The 20,731-nt window shown below is 38.2% G+C and overlaps 1 protein-coding gene across 6 annotated transcripts in view; it reads left to right on the plus strand.

Annotated features, from left to right (window-relative positions):
• GMPS (guanine monophosphate synthase) overlaps positions 1-20,525 on the plus strand; it is a 74,591-nt gene extending 54,066 nt beyond the window's left edge. For all 6 annotated transcript variants that reach the window (XM_011513263.3, XM_047449145.1, XM_017007422.2 and 3 more), the window contains 5 exons: positions 1,746-1,871; positions 8,270-8,385; positions 11,421-11,551; positions 12,843-13,015; positions 14,096-20,525. In XM_011513263.3, coding sequence (XP_011511565.1) covers positions 1,746-1,871; positions 8,270-8,385; positions 11,421-11,551; positions 12,843-13,015; positions 14,096-14,197 — 648 coding nt within the window. In that variant the 3' untranslated portion in view covers positions 14,198-20,525. The remainder of the gene's footprint in view (positions 1-1,745; positions 1,872-8,269; positions 8,386-11,420; positions 11,552-12,842; positions 13,016-14,095) is intronic.
• Positions 20,526-20,731: the final 206 nt, after the last annotated feature.

Genomic DNA, 20,731 nt, shown 5'->3' on the forward strand with positions numbered 1-20,731 from the left:
TAGAGAAATTAAAGACTGCCAAAGACAGAGCAGCTGCGGAGAACAGATCAATTACCTACCCAGGAAATTATACTGAAACAGTAAAGGCAAGACTTCAAAATACCAAGAGAAAATAATTAACTGTAGTGAACAGCTAAACTGTCTTTTAAAAACAAGGGCAAAATAAAGTTATTTCGAGATTAAATAGAATTTACTACCAACAGTCCCTTACTGAAGAAACTAAAGGCAATGATTTTCAACCCTGGCTGTATGTTAGAATCATCTGGGGAAGCTTTTGAAGTATACTATTCTTGACATATAGCCCTAGAATTTAATTGGTCTGAGATGGGACCTGGGCATTCCAAGTAATTTGTGCAGTTAAGGTTGAGAACCATTGTTTTTTTTTTTGTTTGTTTGTTTTTTGAGATGGAGTTTTGCTCTTGTTGCCCAGGCTGGAGTGCAATGGCACGATCTTGGCTCACTGCAACCTCCGCCTCCCAGGTTTAAGCGATTCTCCTGCCTCAGCCTCCCGAGTAGCTGGGATTACAGGCATGTGCCATCACGCTTGGCTAATTTTGTATTTTTAGTTGAGACGGGGTTTCTCCATGTTGGTCAGGCTAGTCTCAAACTCCCGACCTCAGGTGATCACCCGCCTCGGCCTCCCAAAGTGCTGGGATTACAGGCGTGAGCCACTGGGCCCGGCTGAGAACCATTGTTTTAAAGAACTGACTTGAGGAGAAGCAGCAGGATGCCAGGAGAAAGTCATGAGATACAAGAAGGAATGCTAAGCAAGGAAAATGGTAAATGACTAAAACTGAAACAAACATGGACTGTATAAAATGATAAAAATGATTATAAAATCGAGAGTAGAGGTAAAAATGATATCTACTTGTTCTTGTTTATTAGAAAATGTGTAACAATGTTTAGCTGAAGTAACATGTAAGCCACAAAGGGATTGATTTGAGCTAAGGAATTCAAAGATGTCTGTGTTATTTGCCAGAAGGACAGAAGATTGATTATCTTTTAAGTATCCTTGTTAACACTTAAGGACAACTACTGCAAGAATAGAAATAGAGGATTTAACTTCAAAACCGGTAAAGAGGAAATAAATGAGCTGGGAGAAATCACCAGTTCAAAAGACAGCAAGAAAGGAGTAAGAGTAAAAAATGGGTTAAATAGATAATTACAGAAAAAGATTGTAGAATGAAATTCAACTATATTGATAACCTATAATTAATTAAAAGGACTATAACATTCCTAGTTAAGACATAGACAGTCAAACTAGATTGAAAACTAAAATCTGCTTAGTATAGAATAGTAGACATGAAAGGTATAGTCTATTCACAACAGGCATTACTAATACCTAGGGATAGTAGGAGTGAAAATTAAAGAATGGAAAAACATATACCAGGTAAATAAAAAAAAAGAAATGGCTAAAGCTATATTAATTTCAGACAAAACTGACTTTATGGCAAAAAGCATTAAGATAATATTTGACTCAGATAAGGTGCATCACTTGCTGGTGACAGGGTACTAAAGCCTGAATGTATGTAAATATAATCTGCATTTCTTATCCTAAGACTTCTTCATAGTCCTAGCCCTCAGGTGTGAATTTCTGGCATAGTGCATAGCACACACAACTCAAGGAGATACCAAATACAATCCACTGCTAAAAACCAGTAAAATACATAAGATAGTAGTAGATAATAAAAGAGTGAATACCTTATTTCTTAAAACTGAAAAAATGCCTCTTTGGTTTTTCTCAGCCACATACCCTATTACAGAGAGTCAAAGCCTGCACAACAGAAGAGGATCAGGAGAAGCTGATGCAAATTACCAGTCTGCATTCACTGAATGCCTTCTTGCTGCCAATTAAAACTGTAGGTGTGCAGGTGAGTTGTGTGAATTCATTCACCAGTGATATACTTTTTTTTTTTTTTCTTTTCTTGAGACGGAGTCTCACTGTGTTGCCCAGGCTGGAGCGCAGTGGCGTGATCTCAGCTCATTGCAACCTCCGCCTCCTGGGTTCAAGCACTCTTTCTACTAATCTTGAAATAAGGATTACTTAGGAAAATGAAATATGTGAGTATATATACCAAGTTTAGAGAAATAAGGTAATTTTTTATAGAATGTTTAGGGAGTGAATAGTTAATGGAACTAAATAGTCAGGCTGAGATTTTGTAGTTTTGGAACATCTATGAACTCTAACCAAAGGTAAATATTGAAAGCAACCCTTTCCTATAGGGTTGGCATGCTTACTTCTGCCTTGTAGGGCAGGGATCAAGAGGTCATTTATCCTAGGTGTGAAATATACTGTGGTTTTAGAAGTCTTTAACTGCAGGAAGGCCTCCAGATGAGTAAGTTACACCATTTAGGTGTTGTTCTCAGCTTGTGTATTCCCTGTACTAGGGAACACATTCTACTGATGTTGTGTTTATTCTGCCTTTCTAGTTGTAAAAGAACATGAGAATAATATAGTTCTCAATTATAAAATGCTACTTGCAAAATGACTAATAACTAATAAGATAGTATGTTAATTTCTCCTCTTTTTTCTGGAGACAGGGTCTTGCCCTGTCGCCCAGGCTGGAGTGCAGTGATGTGATCATGGCGTACTGTAGCCCTGAATTCCTGGGTTCAAGCGACCCTACTACCTCAGCTTCCCAAGTAGCTGGGACTACAGGCAAGCACCATCATGCCTGGCTAATTTTTAAATTTTTTTGTAGAGATAGGGTCTCCCTGTGTTGCTCAGGCTGGCTTTGAAATTCTGGCCTCAAGTGATCCTTCACTTTGGCCTCCCAAAGTGTTAGGATTGGAAGCATGAGACACTGTACCCGGCCTTCTTTATATGATCCTCAAATGAGTTTTTGGGGAGCAAAAGTGTGGGAGGGTAGGGAAGAGAAAGGTTATTTTCTTCTATTTCAAGTTTGTGGTTAAATGGAGACACTAGAAGAGGTGTCAGTAGTTCAACTCGAAAATGGTATAAGTGCCAGTTATTGGGTTAATGTGTTTATAATGTCCTCTTACAGTAAAATTATGTGTAGAATATACATATGTAACTAACCTGCACATTGTGCACATGTACCCTAAAACTTAAAGTATAATAATAAAAAAATAAAAAATAAAAAAAAAGAAATTCTGTTTCAGAGATTATTCTTCTAAAACCTAATAAGCATTTTTTCTAAATATATGAATCTGTCAGTTTAAATTCCCCTTTGCTCTGAATTCATGCAGTTCTGCCTGTAAATAAAACAAGATAAAAATTGATTGTTGCCAGGCGCAGTGGTTCATGCCTGTAATCCCAGCACTTTGGGAGGCTGAGGCAGGCGGATCACCTGAGGTTGGAAGTTCAAGAGCAGCCTGACCAACATGCAGAAACCCCATCTCTACTAATTAGCCGGGTGTGGTGGTGCATGCCTGTAATCCCAGCTAGTCGGGAGGCTGAGGCAGGAGAATTGCTTGAACCCAGGAGGCGGAGGTTGCGGTGGGCCAAGATTGCGCCATTGCACTCCAGCCTGGGCAACAAGAGTGAAACTCCTTCTTAAAAAAAAAAAAAAATTGATTGTTATTTTTAAAGTAAACTAAAATATTTTATTTCATGAAAGTGATAGAGCCAGCTATTGGGTTAAGGAACTCTTGCCTTCTTTTTAAAGGCCAAATGTTGTAAGCTGCTTATGTTGTTTTAAAATCACTATTGAAATAACCTTACTTGGAGTTACTGATACTTTCTTTCAGTGGTTTATGGATTATCTCATTCATACATAAATTTATTTTGAAATTTGCAATGATACTTACAGGCAGTATTACCCTAATATATAAAAATAGAATTGTGGACAGGTTATTTAATTCTTAAAAGTTTCTGAGTTTTAAGTAGATTTGTTATAGAGAACTTCAACGTCTGTGTGCTAACTGCTGCTACAAAGGGAGTTGAAATAGTTCCCCACTCTTCTTTTTAGAGAAGTGTTACAAAAAATAGATACTTGAGATAATCTGATGAATGAGTGATTTCTTTCTTGAAAATGAAACTTATTCAGGCTCTACTACTTTTCCCACCAAAATAAAATTTTCTTTTGTTATTGGATAACTGACTTTAGTCTCTTACCCTTTGAAGCTTAGACCCTTGCAAGCCCAGATAAAAATGATGGTTCATAGTTAGTATAACAATGCATTTTATTTTCTAAATACCAAAGTAAACCGTATTTGTAAAAAATGAAAATACATTAAAAAAAATTCTTTGTATTTCTACTCTCCAGTTAAGTTTTGTATGTGTCTTTCCAGAAACACTTTAAAAAGAAAATAAAAGAGGGGATTTGGGGTACACATTGTCAACTTTTTTCTTTTAACTGAACATCATGAACTTACCTTTCTGTGCCTTTCCAAGTAGATGGTTCTTAACTGTTCCCTCATATTCTATGCATACCATCATTTATTTAACTATTCTTCTAACCAATGGGCATTTAAACTGTTCTGTTTTTTATTATTATAGGCATCCCATCAGTTATCCATGTATTTATGTAGGATCATTTTATGTGCATGTGCATTTTACACTTTTTTTTTTTTTTTTTTTTTTTTTGAGATGGAGTCTTGCTCTGTCACCCAGGCTGGAGCACAGTGGCTTGATCTCAGCTCATGGCAACCTCCACCTACCAGGTTCAAACGATTCTCCTGTTGCAGCCTCCTGTGTAGCTGGGGTTACAGGCACACGCCGCCATACCTGGATAATTTTTTGTATTTTAGTAGAGACGGGGTTTCACCACGTTGCCCAGGTTGGTCTCGAACTCCTGAGCTCAGGCAATCCACCCGCCTCGGCCTCCCAAAAGTGCTAGGATTACAGGCATGAGCTACCACGCCCAGCCCATTTTACACTTTTATAGATGCTATCACATTAGCATTCACATATGTTGAATTTTCACATTCTTAGTACCTGCCACTTTGGGCATTAGGTACTTCTCTAATCTGTTACTTTTTAAAATTGCTTTTCATAAAAAAAGCAAATTACTTGGATTAAACAGGACACAGGAAAAGAGAATAAATTATCAGTTTTATTTACTTATTTTAAAATTAACTTTTTTTTTTTATTATACTTTAAGTTTTAGGGTACATGTGCACATTGTGCAGGTTAGTTACATATGTATACATGTGCCATGCTGGTGCACCGCACCCACTAACTCGTCATTTAGCATTAGGTATATCTCCCAATGCTATCCCTCCCCCCTCCCCCCACCCCACCACAGTCCCCAGAGTGTGATATTCCCCTTCCTGTGTCCATGTGATCTCATTGTTCAATTCCCACCTATGAGTGAGAATATGCGGTGTTTGGTTTTTTGTTCTTGCGATAGTTTACTGAGAATGATGATTTCCAATTTCATCCATGTCCTTACAAAGGACATGAACTCATCATTTTTTATGGCTGCATAGTATTCCATGGTGTATATGTGCCACATTTTCTTAATCCAGTCTGTCATTGTTGGACATTTGGGTTGGTTCCAAGTCTTTGCTATTGTGAATAATGCCGCAATAAACATATGTGTGCATGTGTCTTTATAGCAGCATGATTTATAGTCGTTTGGGTATATACCCAGTAATGGGATGGCTGGGTCAAATGGTATTTCTAGCTCTAGATCCCTGAGGAATCGCCACACTGATTTCCACAATGGTTGAACTAGTTTACAGTCCCACCAACAGTGTAAAAGTGTTCCTATTTCTCCACATCCTCTCCAGCACCTGTTGTTTCCTGACTTTTTAATGATTGCCATTCTAACTGGTGTGAGATGGTATCTCATAGTGGTTTTGATTTGCATTTCTCTGATGGCCAGTGATGATGAGCATTTTTTCATGTGTTTTTTGGCTGCATAAATGTCTTCTTTTGAGAAGTATTGATGGGACATATCTCAAAATAATAAGAGCTATCTATGACAAACCCACAGCCAATATCATATTGAATGGGCAAAAACTGGAAGCATTCCCTTTGAAAACTGGCACAAGACAGGGATGCCCTCTCTCACCACTCCTATTCAACATAGTGTTGGAAGTTCTGGCCAGGGCAATTAGGCAGGAGAAGGAAATAAAGGGTATTCAATTAGGAAAAGAGGAAGTCAAGTTGTCCCTGTTTGCAGACAACATGATTGTATATCTAGAAAACCCCACTGTCTCAGCCCAAAATCTCCTTAAGCTGATAAGCAACTTCAGCAAAGTCTCAGGATACAAAATCAATGTACAAAAATCACAAGCATTCTTATACACCAACAACAGACAAACAGAGAGCCAAATCATGAGTGAACTCCCATTCACAATTGCTTCAAAGAGAATAAAATACCTAGGAATCCAACTTACAAGGGATGTGAAGGACCTCTTCAAGGAGAACTACAAACCACTGCTCAAGGAAATAAAAGAGGATACAAACAAATGGAAGAACATTCCATGCTCATGGGTAGGAAGAATCAATATCGTGAAAATGGCCATACTGCCCAAGGTAATTTACAGATTCAGTGCCATCCCCATCAAGCTACCAATGACTTTCTTCACAGAATTGGAAAAAACTAAAGTTCATATGGAACCAAAAAAGAGCCCGCATCGCCAAGTCAATCCTAAGCCAAAAGAACAAAGCTGGAGGCATCACACTACCTGACTTCAAACTATACTACAACGCTACAGTAACCAAAACAGCATGGTACTGGTACCAAAACAGAGATATAGATCAATGGAACAGAACAGAGCCCTCAGAAATAACGCCACATACCTACAACTATCTGATCTTTGACAAACCTGAGAAAAACAAGCAATGGGGAAAGGATTCCCTATTTAATAAACGGTGCTGGGAAAACTGGCTAGCCATATGTAGAAAGCTGAAACTGGATCCCTTCCTTACACCTTATACAAAAATCAATTCAAGATGGATTAAAGATTTAAACGTTAGACCTAAAACCATAAAAACCCTAGAAGAAAACCTAGGCATTACCATTCAGGACATAGGCATGGGCAAGGACTTCATGTCCAAAACACCAAAAGCAATGGCAACAAAAGCCAAAATTGACAAATGGGATCTAATTAAACTAAAGAGCTTCTGCACAGCAAAAGAAACTACCATCAGAGTGAACAGGCAACCTACAAAATGGAAGAAAATTTTCGCAACCTACTTATCTGACAAAGGGCTAATATCCAGAATCTACAGTGAACTCAAACAAATTTACAAGAACAAAACAAACAACCCCATAAAATTAACTTTTAAGCTGATACTTAAACACGTTGATAAGTAAATGTTTATGAATTGTTTTTGTCTCCCACTTAAGAATTCTTTATCCACTCAAAAAACACAGGCAGATCTTGTCTGCCAAATTATAATTTTTCATAATTTTATTTTATTTTTTTGAGATGGGGTCTTACTCTGTTGCCCAGGCTAGAGTACAGTGGCATGATCACTGCTCACGATAGCCTCGACCTCGTTGGGCTCAGGTGATCCTCCTATCTCAGCTTCCTGAGTAGCAGGGACTACAGGTGCATGCCACCACACTGCCCAGCTAATTTTTGTATATTTTGTAGAGACAGGGTGTTGCCATGTTGTCCAGGCTGGTCTCAAACTTCTGGGCTCAACTGACCCACCCACCTCGGCCTCCCAAAGTGCTAGGATTATAGGTGTGAGCTTCTGTACCTGGCCTTGTCTGCCAAATTAAATATGCTGGTTATCCACAGTTGTGCAGGTAATGGGAATGTTGAATACTTTTTTTTTTTTTGAGACAGAGTTTCACTCTGTCACCCAGGCTGGAGTGCAGTGATACGATCTCTCAGCTCACTGCAACCTCCACCTCCCAGGATCAAGCAGTTCTCCTGCCTCAGCCTCCCGAGTAGCTGGGACTACAGGTTCATGCCACCATGCCTGGCTAATTTTTGTATTTTTAGTAGAGATGGGGTTTCATCATGTTGGCCAGGCTGGTCTTGAACTCATGACCTCAGGTGATCTGCCCACCTCGGCCTCCCAAAGTGCTGGGATTACAGGCATGAACCACTGTGCCCAGCCTAAATTCTTGATATTACCATGATACTTTATGTATGTCTTAGCTGATTCAGGTAGGATTTAATATGGGATTTTAATTTGGAATTTATTTATACCATTAAAGAAGCATTTAGTATATACTTTCATTCAAAATTTCCAAAAATCCATTAATAATGTCACCATGCATAAGATATTTTTCAATGCATCTTTTCTTTTTTTTTTAAAAAAAAAAAAAAGCTTTGTCAAGTTAAACTGGTGTATCTTTTGACTATTAAAAATTATTGATTATCTTTTTATTTTCAGGGTGACTGTCGTTCCTACAGTTACGTGTGTGGAATCTCCAGTAAAGATGAACCTGACTGGGAATCACTTATTTTTCTGGCTAGGCTTATACCTCGCATGTGTCACAACGTTAACAGGTGTGTTTCACAGGAGCTAGGGTGGGGGCTTGTGTAATGGAAGGATGTATTTCTTAAGGGCTTTCAATTAATGGAAGACCAAAAGGCTCAAATGTAGATATAGGTAGGTCATGTAGATAAGAGTAAATGGCTGTGTTTGTAATTCAAATATGCACATAGGTTGCAGTTAAGTAGATATTTAATATTATCTTGTGTTTTGACTCTTCATCACAATGTAGTCATCTGTTAAAAATTATTTAAAGGAGAAAGATTTTTATTTTAGTGTAAAATATTAAAGGCAGCTGTAAAACATCTTCTAAATTAGTGGTTTATATTAGCTGTTGGTTTTATGGTAACATGTTTTATTCCAGAAGGATTGAAAAAAGTATGTCCAGGTTACAGAATTACAAATAAAGTAACACACACACACACACACACACACACACACACACACACCCCTACAAAACAAACAACCCCCACTCCAAACAAAAATGGAGACTTGGTTAATTTAGTAGTAACCCCAAGGAAAAAAATCAAAGAAAAGAAATAGGCATGTGCCAGATAGCATTAAAATAGTTACATTTAAATATATAATTTACATTTAGATTAATTTCCCTTTAATTTGCATATTAACTTCTTACATTGGATATATCAACAGCTGATTTATAATCTATTTCTAATCCTCAATTTCATCGTACCATATATAGTTCAAAAATTCACTTATTTTGTACTAGATTGCTAATTAAATGTTCTTACTTCACAGTTATTCTCTCTGTTCAGTTTTCTTCATGGGTGTTAGGCAGTTAACAACCAAAAAGAATTACTTGAGGTTTCATTTTACTCAAATTGCTGCAGAAATCAGAAGCTTACCTTTTAATGTTAAGCTAGCAGAGTCTGTATAGTTCGAGATAAGGAGTTACAGGGAAGCCATGTTTTTACCGATGGGAACATGCTCATTCAAAGGCTTACTCAAATGAACTGAAAACCGTCAAATACAGAAGCATCTTTAAAATGCTGAAAAATAGAATTATTACTATCTTCAATAATGGGGGCCAGGCATGGTGGCTCACGCCTGTAATCCCACCACTTTGAGAGGCCAAGGCGAGTGGATCACTTGAGCCCAGGAGTTTGAGACCAGCCTGGGCAACATGGTGAAACTCCATCTCTACAAAAAATACAAAAATTAGCCAGGCATGGTGGTGTGTGCCTGTAGTCCCAGCTACTCGGGAGGCTGAGGCAGAAGAATGGTGTGAACCCGGGAGACAGAGCTTGCAGTGAGCTGAGATTGCACCACTGCACTCAAGCCTGGGCGACAGAGCGAGACTTCATCTCAAAAAAAGGAAAAAGAAAAAAAAAAGAATCTTGGTGAACTTTAGATTTATTTGCTGGGGTCTTTTTGATGAATTGGAGTTTAAAAATATTCTTCCCTGTTTGCCGGTTTTTTTCCTAATTTGGATAAGGGAATCTTTGTACAGGGAGGGACTGTTCCAGTTTTACTGTCATATATAGTGTGGGTAAATACCTGTCCCAGTACACTCTAGTGATTACTTTTGTTTGTAAGAAATGAGAAGGTGAAAAGAGCAGGTTCATGGCATTCTCTTAACTTTCTCCTGTAAAGATCTTTTATGAACTTTAGGAACTGTATTGTTTAGAAAAATTATAACTTACTGTCTATACGTGGGACAAAAACCTTGCTTCTGTTGTAGTATGTTTGGAAGGAGACAATAAAGTAGTTGGTGATACCGGTGGTTTTGTGCTAATATGGTTTTCTATTGTGTATTTTACCTAAGTACATATTAAGAAAAGAAGAAAAAACATTAAACTTTACCATGATAGTTTCCGGGGAGATTTATTTTCTTTGCTAAAAACAGGACTAACGAAAAGTGAATAGGGAGAACTAGCTAAGTGGCACTCATATCTCTACCCTGATTCCCTCTTGTTTTCTGGGTGAAGATTGTGAAACAGATCCCTTCAAACCAGTGGCCAGCTACACTTCAAGTTGTTAAAATTGTCTGATTCTAATTTCCTCAAGTTATGTTCCAAACTGTACTCTCATTAACTCAAGATATTTGTGGTGTATCTTCATGTCTTTCAAACAGACATTTATATAAAACACTAATGAATCATTTTTTTGGAAGGAAGTAGTAGGATACTAAGTCCTATTTCAATGGCCTTTTTAATGAAGTGCAAATGAGAATCTCTCTAGAATGATTGTTTCTCAAGTAGAGAAAAAAAGATGAGTTTACTAATTTTGGGAAATTCACTGTAGTTTCCTCTTGGAGATTTCCAGTGCATGTTAGCATAGTATATTAATAGTTTCTGAAGTCTTGTCATAAAGACACCTATTTTTAAATTTTAATTGTGTATTTGTTTCCTAGGACTACCCATAACAAATCACCACAAACTAGGAGGCTTAAAACAACAGACATTTATTCTCTCACAGTTTAGGAGGCCAGAAGTCTGAATTCAGTGTTGGCAGGGTCATATTCTCTCTGAAGACTCTAGGGGAGGATCCTTCCTTGCTTCTTCCTACTATCGAGTGGTGGCAGCATAGTCCAGTCTGTCTTTGTGTTCACATGACCCTCATTCCCCTGTGGGTATCTGTGTATCCAAATTTCCCAGCACTTGGAAGGATACCAGTCATTGGATTAGAGCCCATCCTAATCCAGTATTACTTCATTTTAACTTGATTACATTTGCAAAGACCCTTTTTCTCCCCAGAGATTCTGGGTGGGCATGAAGTTTTGGGGATACTCTTCGACCCAGTACATTAAGTGAAAAGAGAGTTGTAATAATCACTTATATCTTTGCACATTCTGAGATACAGAATATTCCAGAGAACACACTTTGAGGAAAACACGTAGAACACAGACCTTCCTATAATCTTATATCTTGTCCTATCCATCTGGGGAGTTGAAGTGGGCAGGAGAAGGGCCTGAAACTAAGTGGGAAATGGAAAGAATGTTACTGTTCTAAGTGCCTTGCTTCTCATACTAAAATGTAATTTCTACATTTGAAATGTAATTGCTGTATTATTTTTACCTCTTTGTTTCCAGAGTTGTTTATATATTTGGCCCACCAGTTAAAGAACCTCCTACAGATGTTACTCCCACTTTCTTGACAACAGGGGTGCTCAGTACTTTACGCCAAGCTGATTTTGAGGCCCATAACATTCTCAGGGAGTCTGGTAAGTTGCTCATGTTTTTGATTACTACCCTCTGAAACTAGTTTTTGGAAGCTTGATATTAAGAGTAGGAGGATGTGGCTTTTGCTTTTTAGATGCTTTTGTTTTTATTATTTAAATCTTTGAATGTTCTATGATGTTGCTTTTTTTTCTTGAGACGGAGTCTGTCTTGCTCTGTCGCCCAGGCTGGAGTGCAGTGGCACAATCTTGGTTCACTTCAGCCTCTGCCTCCTGTTACAAGTGATTCTCCTGCCTCAGCCTCCCGAGTAGCTGGGATTACAGGCACCCGCCACCACACCTGGCTAGTTTTTTGTATTTTTAGTAGAGATAGGGTTTTGCCATTTTGGCCAGCTGATCTCGAACTCCTAACCTCATGTGATCAGGTCAGGAGTCAGGTCAGGCCAGCCTTGGCCTCCCAGAGTGTTGGGATTACAGGCGTGAGCCACTGCACCTGGCCTATAATGTTGCTTCTAAATAAAATATATTCCCCTTTGTGGCCATTTGTGGACATGCACAGAGCAGCAGAAAATTTGAATTTCCAGACTTAGATGTTCCCAGCTGAGTTTGAACAAGGTGACGCTATGCCTTCTTGTTTTCAGCTCTCATAATGTGAACAAGTCTTTTTCATGGTCTCCTTGATGCTATATCTTTTGCATTTTTATGTCTTTTGTTGGTGATTTTGCTGTTTAAAATGGATCTCAACTATAGTGTTGAAGTGCTGTCTGGGTTCCTAAGCACAGGAATGCTGTGATGTACCTTACAGAGAAAATCTGTGTGTTAGATAAACTTCATTCAGGCATGAGTTAAAGAGCTACTGATTGTCAGTTCAGTGTTAATGAATCTATAATAAATATTAAATACAGTGTCTTAAATCAGAAACACATAAAACAAGGTTATATATTAATCAGTTGATGAAAATATTACAACCAGAGGCTTGCAGGAACCTAACCCTCCATTTCCCCTGGGAGAAATGGTTCAGTATTCGCTAATTCGTTGTTTGCAGTGTAGAATATAACTATACTGCAAATTATAATAGAGAATAATGAGACTGGACTGTTTCTGTTTACAGCACATCAGTGAAACATCACTGATGTGATCAAATTCTGTTTTTTGCATTTGTGATTAAGTCCATTTAAAATGCTCTGCGAGTAGCTGAAATCAATGCATGATGACAGTCTTAACTACGCTGTGTGTGTATATGTGATTTCAGATATTGCCTGGGAGGATTTAATTGAACTGAGTTAGAGTGCTTTTCTATGGTGTGGTGATTGGTTCTACATATACCTTTCTCTAGGGTATGCTGGGAAAATCAGCCAGATGCCGGTGATTTTGACACCATTACATTTTGATCGGGACCCACTTCAAAAGCAGCCTTCATGCCAGAGATCTGTGGTTATTCGAACCTTTATTACTAGTGACTTCATGACTGGTATACCTGCAACACCTGGCAATGAGATCCCTGTAGAGGTAATTTATATATTTTTTTCTAATGCACGTTCTCAGTACCTCTTACATTTTATAATATGGTGAATGGAATAGGCTATGCCAGTGCTGTATTTCTTATGTTGGTTTTCTGTTCATAAGATAGGCTTTTTTTTTTAAATTTTCACATATTTGATTAATACACTGGGGCAGAAAAAGGCTTTAAATTATATATGCTCTCCAATTGTGTGATTACTGTATAAAAAGTAATTGATTATAATTTTATCTAATCCTGCCAATTTCTACTTTACAAACAGTATTCCCCAAATAAAAAAGAAAACTCTAGGAGTGAAGAAGAGTTTGTTAGAAATAAGGATGCAATTTGATAGCTTTATGGCCAGACACCCAAGAATTGCCTAAATGTTCTCCCTACTACCAATTCCAACTCAATTTTTGATCCTTCTTTGTCTTCACCAGAACATTCCAAAGGAGCTACTTGCATAATAGCAAGTGAAAATCAAAGTGAGACTCTATTAGTTGGGCCACTGCCTCCAGTGCACTAACACGAAGCTGTCGTGATAGCTAGGTAGATGGGTTGGTTCGGAACGTGGCTTAGAGTCATTTTTCTCTTAGGCTCAAATTTGTCAAATTTGACAAGTGAGCAGGCTATCCTCTCCTGTATACTTGATAATGATTATTACAGTGTACTCTGTGCCACCTTGGTGGCCCTTAGAGTTGTATGTTTAAGCTGCAGATAATTTGCAGAGCATTGGCTGAAACACATAAAATCACATGCTTGGATGCCACAGCAATGTCAAATCGCTATATGTTCTTAAGCACTTGTGGCTCAGTCACAAACACAACTTGCAGACTAGCACCTGTTTGTGGATCACACTTTGAGTAGTACTGAGTTTAAGTCACTAATATTTTAAACCTTAATAACTTACACCTATCCCTGCAGAGGGGAATAGGTTCATTATATAAGATTAATCAGAAACCATCCCATATACATGGAGGACAATAGTGAAAATAGTCAAATTTTAATTTCAAATTACAAATGTAAGCCCTCTAGGACTGCTGGACATGCAGTGGATGCTGACTTTTCTCTATAATTTTTTTTAATAGGTGGTATTAAAGATGGTCACTGAGATTAAGAAGATTCCTGGTATTTCTCGAATTATGTATGACTTAACATCAAAGCCCCCAGGAACTACTGAGTGGGAGTAATAAACTTCTTGTTCTATTAAAGTACCGTGTGCAGTTTAAATTGATTAGAAATCATTCCCATTATTGACATGCAGTACTGTGAAAAGAGTTACTGGAGCAGCTACATCACATCTGAGTTCTCCACAGCAAAAATCTACGGCTTAAGAGCTGAGTTGGGGATAACCAAAAGGGACTGAAGAGTTTGTACGGGTAAATAATCAAAGCACCATTGCCTACACTCAGACAGATTGATACTGCTTTTGCCTTTGCCTCACTTATTCTTTATGTATAAATTCACTGTTGATGTCTCTGTGAATATGTATGAAGGTGGGTGAATTTGGGGGTAATTATGGGCTTCTGTCTCCTTACCAGTTTCTAAGAACTGTTAGAAACGCCCATTATTTACCAGTGTTACTTACTACTTATATATACTTTTTGGAGAATCAGTTTTCTTATAAGTAATCTTATTTCTCCAAAGGGTGAAAAAGAGATGAACATATCAGATAAAGGTATAGGTGGGCTATTCCAGCCACTTTTGAAGGACACTGAGGGTATAAAATGTAAGCTACCATAAGATGGAAAAGCACCAGGAATTTGTTGATGTACTTTTGAATTTTATTTCACAGCCTTGGGAGGAAGAAACTATGAGTGGTCTCAGATGTCTATGAATGGTCTTAAAATGTTTTCAAACCATGTTCCACATAGATGCCATGTTATTCAATGTCAGCTTGTTTATTAGTAAGGAGCTTTATCCTCCTAGCCTTATATTACCAGCCCCCCACAGCCTTGCATAGAAAGTTTCTGTTATCTCCTTAGAAGAAACTGGCTCAATGACGTTTCTGGTGTAGTGCAGATAGAGGTCAAGAGGAGCATTTTCATCTCTTCTTTTGCTGGTCAGAGAAACGGTTCTGAGATCACAGAAGCTATGATGCATACCTACAGCTTACAAAAGGGAGAGGAAAAATGTTTATATCATCTAGTAAACAGTTGTAAAATGAGCTTTTAAATCTAATCTATAGACATATTATTCATTGCTCAGACACCTGTGAACAGTCTTGATACATGCAAGATGTTTGCCAAACTTTGTAATCCTTTCTACTAGCTATAAGAGAGGATTTAAGAACTGGTGTAGGACTTGTTGCCATCACCACCAGTTTCTAACAGATCTTTTATAACATTCACATAAGTACTGTAGACAGTAGTAGACTTAAACTCTCCGTTTCTCTCAGTATTTTAGCTAAGAATGTTACCATATTTTTCTCTTAACAATTCCATCTCAGGTTGCTGCTGCTTGTCTAGTTTAAAAGGTCAGATCTATTAATCAGGAATGAAATTTTATTTGGGATTCAGTGTTAGACAAACAACAAAATGATGCGTGGCAGAAGTCATCTTTTTATTCTGGCTGGTCCAGGGAACAAGAAAACTGCTGCTGGACCAGCAAGGGAAGAGTTTCTGTCTGTCTTAACAGAAATCTGTCCCCAAGACAAAGGGGTACTTGACTCCTACAAAACTTAAAGGGTACATTCTCTATCTGATGAGGAGGTACTCATTATGGCCTTCTGGAAAGAGGCTATGTTAGTGATCTGGTCTTTACAGATTTAGAGTCATGTTATTTGAAAGCTAGAATAGACAACCTATAAAATGCTTACCAACATGTGTCAGTACACGTTTATGTTTATATGAAAAAAAATTTCTAGCCACAGTGTCTTATGATTTTGTATTGAAGCAAACAGTAGGAATTTTGGAAAAATAGAGAGTAAGAATGTGTGTTCTATGGAACACTGCTCCACTGAGAAGGTCCATGTAAAAAGGATTAGGTGGTCATATAAGTTTGGGGAACATAAGCTCACTTGTCCTTTCCTGGAGATTCATGGTATATAATATTCAAAGCTCTGAGAAATTCTGAAGTTAAAAACAATTGTTAAATTCTGCTTAAATTAGTGTTTTCCTGATATTTGTTTTTTGAACACCTTTTATATAATCCCTTCTAATATATACTTAGTATATACTTAATATAATATTGGGAAAATTGTTACTCCAAAGCACATCTTGACATGACATAGTTTCTTAAAAATCCAAATTTTCTGGAACTCAGAAATTTCCTAATATTTAGCACACTGTCTTCTTTTGCACAGCACTTTTTGCTTTGTGCCATATAGCATTACTCTGTACCTTCACAGTATTTCATCTGAGCCACTGAGGAAAGTTAAAGGTTGCACTTCCATTTTACAGTTAAGAAAACAAGCTCACCTTAGGCATGGTTACTTAATTAATTTCAGAATTAAATTTCAGGTTTCCTTAGTCCAGATTGTCCTGATGTGTATTCTGACACCTAAAATTATATAAACATTTATGGGATGCTTATTTTACTAAGACTAGAATGGTGGCTACCTGGCTAATAACATTCATCATTGGTTATTCTGGGCATATCATGACTTTATTCCCGTTGCTTACCATCTACCTGGGACACATCTCTCTTTGATTAAATATATTCTTTTTCTTTGTACTTTTTAGGTAGACAGAGAATGTAGATCATTGAAAGCATTATTTATTCCTAAGATTGGCAGGCACAGAATCATTTTTAAGAACCAAATACCCAGTCCTGCCTTAAAGGCCACATCTATGATCATCAGCTCTGTTAGAAATAACAGCCTGGCATAATTCCTAAATACAAGTCTGTAGATATATCCAGGAGATAGGGTTACACTGTTTTCTAACCTTTTTTAAATCCCTTAATCTTGAGGTAAACTGCATGCATTTAGTCAAACAAGCATCATAAAATTTGTTTCCTCACTGTTTGGGCTTAACCTCCTGATAGCCTGTTTTACTGAATAACTTGACCCTAACCTGTAGAGAATAAGAGCATTCAAATTAGGAAGGCAGGACTATCCATCTTTAGTGCTTTTCCTGCCGTTAAACAACAATGTGAACTTGGTCAAGTCATTTCTGTTCTTTATCTGTGACATGAGGTAACTGTATTAAATTTTCAGCATCAAATCCAGCTATAAATTTGTATTTTGTAAACAAGAGAAAGTAAAGCAGGAGACAGAATGGAGAAGCTGGATAGTGTTTTTTTTTTTTTTTTTTAAGGTTCTTTTATCATCAGATATGACACAAAGGGAAACATCAAAATGCACCGTAAAGTTAAATCCTAGTTACCTTTTTTTGAAGCTGTTGGCAAGGTTTGACCACTTGGGGCATCTTCTGCTGTGAGATGACACTTGAAAAACACCCATCAAAGTTTTCCTGGTAGGAATCTCTCTTTACTGCGTGTTTTTTTGAAAAGCTGACAGAGAATATGCTTTGGCTTTGACACTAATGAAGTCACCCATCATCAATTACATACAGCTAATTGTTGGGAGCTAGAGCTAGAATCCAAGCTTTCTGATTCTCTGCATGGAAGAGGAAATGCTCTAGGGCCCTTCAGGGCAAATCTTAAAAGGAAGTTCTTGGCCGGGCGCGGTGGCTCATGCCTGTAATCCCAGCACTTTGGGAGGCCGAGGTGGGTGGATCACGAGATCAGGAGATCGAGACCATCTTGGCTAACACGGTGAAACCCCATCTCTACTAAAAATACAACAAATTAGCTGGGCGCGGTGGCGGGTGCCTGTAGTCCCAGCTACTCGGGAGGCTGAGGCAGGAGAATGGCCTGAACCCAGGAGGCGGAGCTTGCAGTGAGCTGAGATAGTGCCACTGCACTCCGGCCTGGTGAAAGAGCGAGACTCAGTCTCAAAAAAAAAAAAAAAAGGAAGTTCTTAGTGTGTAATTGACCATCAGGGATAAATGGGCTTCAAAAGTGTTAATTGTCTCCTTACTTACAGTGAGTTTCTAGAGATAGCCCTGTCTTTCAGAAATTCTCTGACATCTGCTTGCGCAATGTTATAACCACTTTCCCACACTACTCCCCTCCAGAAATCTCATTGATATGTGGCGAGGACACGCCTTAGCTATCACCCCAATGGATGCTTCTTTCATTGACCCAAATCCAGAATGTAATGGGGAACTGAATACAAGTTGGATGTCTCCACCCTTGGAAAGCACATCTTTTGTTCTTACTGAAGTAGTTTAACACCACCAGATGATCAAGGGATCAGGGTATCTTTCTGGTATCTTTTTAATCACTGAAGGACTTTGACAGCAGTAATGGTGGCATTGTTGACTCTTAAATTTCTGAACGTTTCACTTAATGGCAAGTGAAGAGATATAGAATCCCCCAAAGAGTGTCAAGATGCTAACTTCCAACCCTATTTTTATGTACTGAAGAGGCCTCAGTGTCTCACTGAACTCTAACCTTTTTGTCAGTGTTCCTCAACACTGGATGCGTATTATTACATAACCTGAGGAGTTAAAAAATACAATAACCAGATGTCCAATTAAATAAAATTAGAATCTGGAGGAGGTAGAACTCAAGCATTTACAGTTTTGTTTTGTTTTTTTTTTAAGACAGAGTCTCGCTCTGTCCCCAAGTGCAGTGGCACAATCTCGGCTCACTGCAAGCTCCGCTTCGTGGGTTCACGCCATTCTCCTGCCTCAGTCTCCCGAGTAGCTGGGACTACAGGCGCCCGCCACTACGCCCGGCTAATTTTTTTGTACTTTTTAGTAGAGACAGGGTTTCACTGTGTTATACAGGATGGTCTCGATCTCCCGACCTCATGATCCGCCCGCCTCGGCCTCTCAGAGTGCTGGGATTACAGGCGTGAGCCACCACGCCCGGCAAGCATTTACAGTTTTAAATCTCCCAGTCAGAATAAATTCTTATTGAGGGCCATACCTAGCCTGTCTTCATCAAACTCATAGGTGAATCTTTGTCAAACCTATAGGAGAGAGATGCAGGCCATAGAGATGGTCTTGCTGAAGGTCTTATAGCTAAATTAGTTCAGATCCAGGAACCAGATTCTGGAACTGATTGCACCTATATTATGTTGTGTGTCAGACACTCCCAGGACCTGTTTGGTAATAATTAGGACAGCTGACATACTTGTTGCTAATTTTGAGATCTGGGCAACAACTGTGTAGGCTGTTCTTTCAACCTCTTTCTTCTTACTTCTTTACTTTTCCTTCAGAGAGGAGAAAGCCACCCCTGTGCTATAGCCACCGCTCCAATTCTGACTCTAGCTAGGTCATGAAACAGACTGAGCTATTATTGCATCAACACATAAATCCTGTCATTTGGGTATTATTCTTTAGAGAACTAGAGATTACCTAGCTGCAACCTAAGTTTCCTGAATTAGAATCATTTGAGCAGCACCATCTTAATTGGCTCATTAACATATTTGTGACCAGGCACAGTGGCGCATGCCTGTAATCCCAGCACTTTGGGAGGCCGAGGCGGGCGGATCTCTTGAGGTCAGGAGTTTGAGACCAGCGTGGCCAACATGGTGAAACCCCATTTCTACTAAAAATGTAAAAATTAGCTGGGCTTGGTGGCGCGCGCCTGTAATCCCAGCTACTCGGAAGGCTGAGGTGTGAGAATCACTTAAACCCGGGAGATGGAGGTTGCAGTGAGCAGAGATTGCGCCACTGCACTCCAGCCTAGGTGACAAGAATGAGACTCCGTCTTAAAACAAAAACAACATATTTGTTCACTTTTGAACCCTGTGGTGTCTTTTAACTTTGTTAAGGGCCCTTGGTTAGCAAAATTATGAAAGTTTAGGAAATTTGGCTATTGAGTATATTAAGTACAACTACAAAATCCTCTGAGTTCTCCAGGAAGCCTAAACCTTGAGCAGTATCTTATTCAAGTGGAGTATATATCTTCAAGAATACAGATTTTTAAGGTAAGTAGTTTTTCGTCTTTGCATCTCCTAAGACCATTGTTAACAACCTTGATATTAAACGAAGAAGTGAATGTAAACCTCCTTTTGAACATATTTTTTATAAAGAAATATTTTGTTAATTGGAGTAAGTAGTATTGTTATGAAATCACTGTGTAATTGTTAATTGTAAACTGCAATGTCTATTTTGTGTTGTAACAATGTTGCCATAAAATAGCTTTGCTAAATGTGAAATGACTTTAATCCCTTTTGTCTTCAATATACTTCATAAAGGAGGAAATGATGATTTACACAATTTGTCATGAAGCTTCCGTGTTTATGAGAAATTCCAAGAAGTAAGAGCCAAGAGGACAGATATTATCAGAATATGGGACATAAGAAATTGCATATAGTGTCAAGGGTTTCTATATAACAACTTAATTTATTTCCCTTGCATATATAGTAGGGGTTAACATTTTGCTCAATGTTAACGGGGGACATAATGGACATAAAACATTGGATAGCTTTTTATTTAAATGAGCTAAAGGTGTGCGTATACACATGCACTTATAAAATTAAAGTCATATATGTATATACACACAGACTTATGTGACTTATTGCATATTCATTTACGTTTGACCAAATCTTTTGTCAATTTCTCAAGAACAAATTAACCTTTATTTAATACATAAATCAGGTCCTTTTAAGTGTTTGGAACTATGTTATCAGAGTTGATTAAACCCATCAAAGTAAATGTACTAGTGAGTCATCAATATGAAGATTAGAAGAAGTAATCACTTTG

The sequence above is a fragment of the Homo sapiens genome, chromosome 3, assembly GCF_000001405.40.
Source record: "Homo sapiens chromosome 3, GRCh38.p14 Primary Assembly".
Lineage (NCBI taxonomy): Eukaryota > Metazoa > Chordata > Mammalia > Primates > Hominidae > Homo > Homo sapiens.